The sequence below is a fragment of the Homo sapiens genome, chromosome X (genome assembly GCF_000001405.40).
Source record: "Homo sapiens chromosome X, GRCh38.p14 Primary Assembly".
NCBI lineage: Eukaryota > Metazoa > Chordata > Mammalia > Primates > Hominidae > Homo > Homo sapiens.
Genome location: NC_000023.11, coordinates 25,769,020 through 25,771,996, shown reverse-complemented (window position 1 = coordinate 25,771,996; position 2,977 = coordinate 25,769,020). Strand labels below are relative to the sequence as shown.

Sequence of the window (2,977 nt, the reverse complement as noted above, 5' to 3'; positions counted from 1 at the left end):
GCGGAAGGGAAGCTCGAATTGGGTGTAGCCCACCACAGCTCAAGGAGGCCTGCCTGCCTCTGTAGGCTCCACCTCTGGGGGCAGGGCACAGACAAACAAAAGACAGCACTAACCTCTGCAGACTTAAATATCTCTGTCTGACAGCTTTGAAGAGAGCAGTGGTTCTCCCAGCACGCAGCTTGAGATCTGAGAACGGGCAGACTGCCTCCTCAAGTGGGTCCCTGACCCTCCGAGTAGCCTAACTGGGAGGCACCCCCCAGTAGGGGCGGACTGACACCTCACATGGCCGGGTACTCCTCTGAGACAAAACTTCCAGAGGAACGATCAGGCAGCAGCATTTGCGGTTCACCAATATCCGCTGTTCTGCAGCCACCGCTGCTGATACCCAGGCAAACAGCGTCTGGAGTGGACCTCCAGTAAATTCCAACAGACCTGCAGCTGAGGGTCCTGGCTGTTAGAAGGGAAACTAACAAACAGAAAGGACATCCACACCAAAAACCCATCTGTACGTCACCATCATCAAAGACCAAAGGTAGATAAAACCACAAAGATATGGAAAAAACAGAACAGAAAAACCGGAAACTCTAAAAATCACAGCGCCTCTCCTCCTCCAAAGGAACACAGCTCCTCACCAGCAGCAGAACAAAGCTGGACGGAGAATGACTTTGACAATTTGAGAGAGGAAGGCTTCAGAAGATCATTTTCTTATAAAACAAAACTTAGCAAAACTGCCACAAAAATAGAAATTATGAATATTACCTCTCAAAAATGAATCATGTTTTCCCATAAAGAAATCTTCTTGCTAAATCAGTGTATTAAATCAAACTTCAACCAATAAATTATATCGAACATTTAAAAATAACATGCATCAGAAACAAAGTATTTCAAAGAATAGGATAAAAAGGAAAATCCATTAACTAATTTTATAATACCAACACAGTCTTGATACCAAAACACAATGAGGGTTTTACAAGAAAGGAAAAATAAAGGTCTGTCCTTCCCAAGAACACAAACACAAAAATCCTACAAGCTGCATTTAAAAATCCAGAAATTTGGCCAGGGCGGTGGTTCATGCCTGTAATCCCAGCACTTTGGGAGGCCGAGGCGGGTGGATCATGAAGTCAAGAGATCGAGACCATCCTGGCCAACATGGTGAAACCCCGTCTCTACTAAAAATACAAAAAATTAGCCAGGGGTGGTAGTGGGCACCTGTAGTCCCAGCTACTTGGGAGGCCGAGGCAGGAGAATGGCACGAACCTGGGAGGCGGAGCTTGCAGTGAGCCCAGATCGGTCCACTGCACTCCAGCCTGGGCGACAGAGGGAGATTCCGTCTGAAAAAAAAAAAAATCCAGATATTCACAAAATAGATAAACCACCACGAACATAACTGTTAGACTGAAAGACTCAGTTCAAGATATTTATTGTCCATCATGTGACTGTATATAATATATTGTATACTTGAAAATTACTAAAGGTAGATTTTAAGTGATATCATTATGAAAAAAATGTTAAGTATATGAGGTATTGTGCATTTCAAATAGCCATTCCACAATGTACCCACTTATTAAAATATGTACACCATACATACATACTATTTTGTCAATTAAAAATTTTAAAGAACATAATGGGATCATAGAAGAATGCCACATTAGTAGTTTAATTAATGTAAGTCACCACATTGAAAGAATAATTACATCATCGTTTTCTCAAAAAATGTAAGAAATGAAAAAATAAATAAATAAACCTCTTGCAGCCCACAAAAAGAGGGACACCTCTGTAATCGGATAAAAGTTGATTTGGGGACGAGCATTATATTTAGTGATACAATGATGAAATATTTTCCTTTGACATAGGGATAAAATGAAAATGCCTGTTAGCACTGCAAGTAGTCAGTTTTATCCTGGAGATCTCCGAGCAATCCAAAAGAAAATAAATGAAACAAAAGTCTTAAGAGCTGGAAAGCAATAAATAAAATACTTGCTATTCAAGACAATATGACTATTTAGAAAAATCCAAAAGAATAGACAGATAAATCACTAGTATACATACATATTTATATTAGAAGATATTTAATATGATTTCAATTTTTTAAATGTATTGATATTTCCTTTGTGAGATGACATATCGTCTGTCTTGGAGAAAGTTCTTCCATGTGCTAAGAAAAAGAATGTGTATTCTGTGGTTGTTGGGTAGAATTTTCTGTAAATATCTGTTAGAGTCATTTGGTCTAAAATCCAATTTAGTCCAATGTTTCTTTGTTGATTTTCTCTTTCGATTATCTGTCTATTGCTATAACTAGGGTGTCGAAGTTCCCCATTATTATTATATTGCTGTCTATCTCTTTTCTTAGTTCTAGTAATATTTGTTTTACATATTTGAATGCTCTGGTGTTCCATGAATATATATGTAGGATTGTTATGTTTTCTCGTTGAATTGATACCTTGATAATTATATAATGGCCTTTTTTTTTTTTTACTGTTGTTGATTTAAAGTCTATTAAAATATAATTCATAAAATTAAAATACAGGTTTGTGAGGTGCTTACATTTACAATTATTAGTAAAAACAATTTTCTAAGCTAATCAGTAGTATTAGATTGGTTTCTGCCATTACTTTTAATGACAAAAAACAGTAATTACCTTTGTACCAACCTAATGTTAAATAAACGAGAGGTATTTAACAAATCAAGAACAAACTATTTTTAAAAAATTTTGTCATCCCTATATAAAATAAACAAAATACTAATTGGAAACTATTCTGATGTAAGTAAATTTGGCACAAGTAAAAAAGTTTACTTGTGACTAGTTACTATGTTTACCTGAAAGTAATAAAGCTTCATTAATTTTAATTATATTTTAGAAATCAGATTTTTCTATGAAATCAAACAAGCCTCTCACATTTACCAGAATTAAATTTTAATGTGTTTGGGTATTTCTACACATCATTAACATGGTGAACGGTACTAACTTTGGCAAAAT

General features: G+C 36.2%; 1 annotated feature.

Moving 5' to 3' along the window:
* Positions 330-509: a silencer, noted in NCBI's record as "fragment chrX:25789605-25789784 (GRCh37/hg19 assembly coordinates)". NCBI's record gives its function as "represses an EF-1alpha promoter that drives an FKBP-Casp9 reporter gene in an ReSE screen in both phorbol 12-myristate 13-acetate-treated (for megakaryocytic differentiation) and untreated K562 erythroleukemia cells {active_cell/tissue: K562 | K562(+PMA)}" and the evidence as "EXISTENCE:reporter gene assay evidence [ECO:0000049][PMID:32094911]".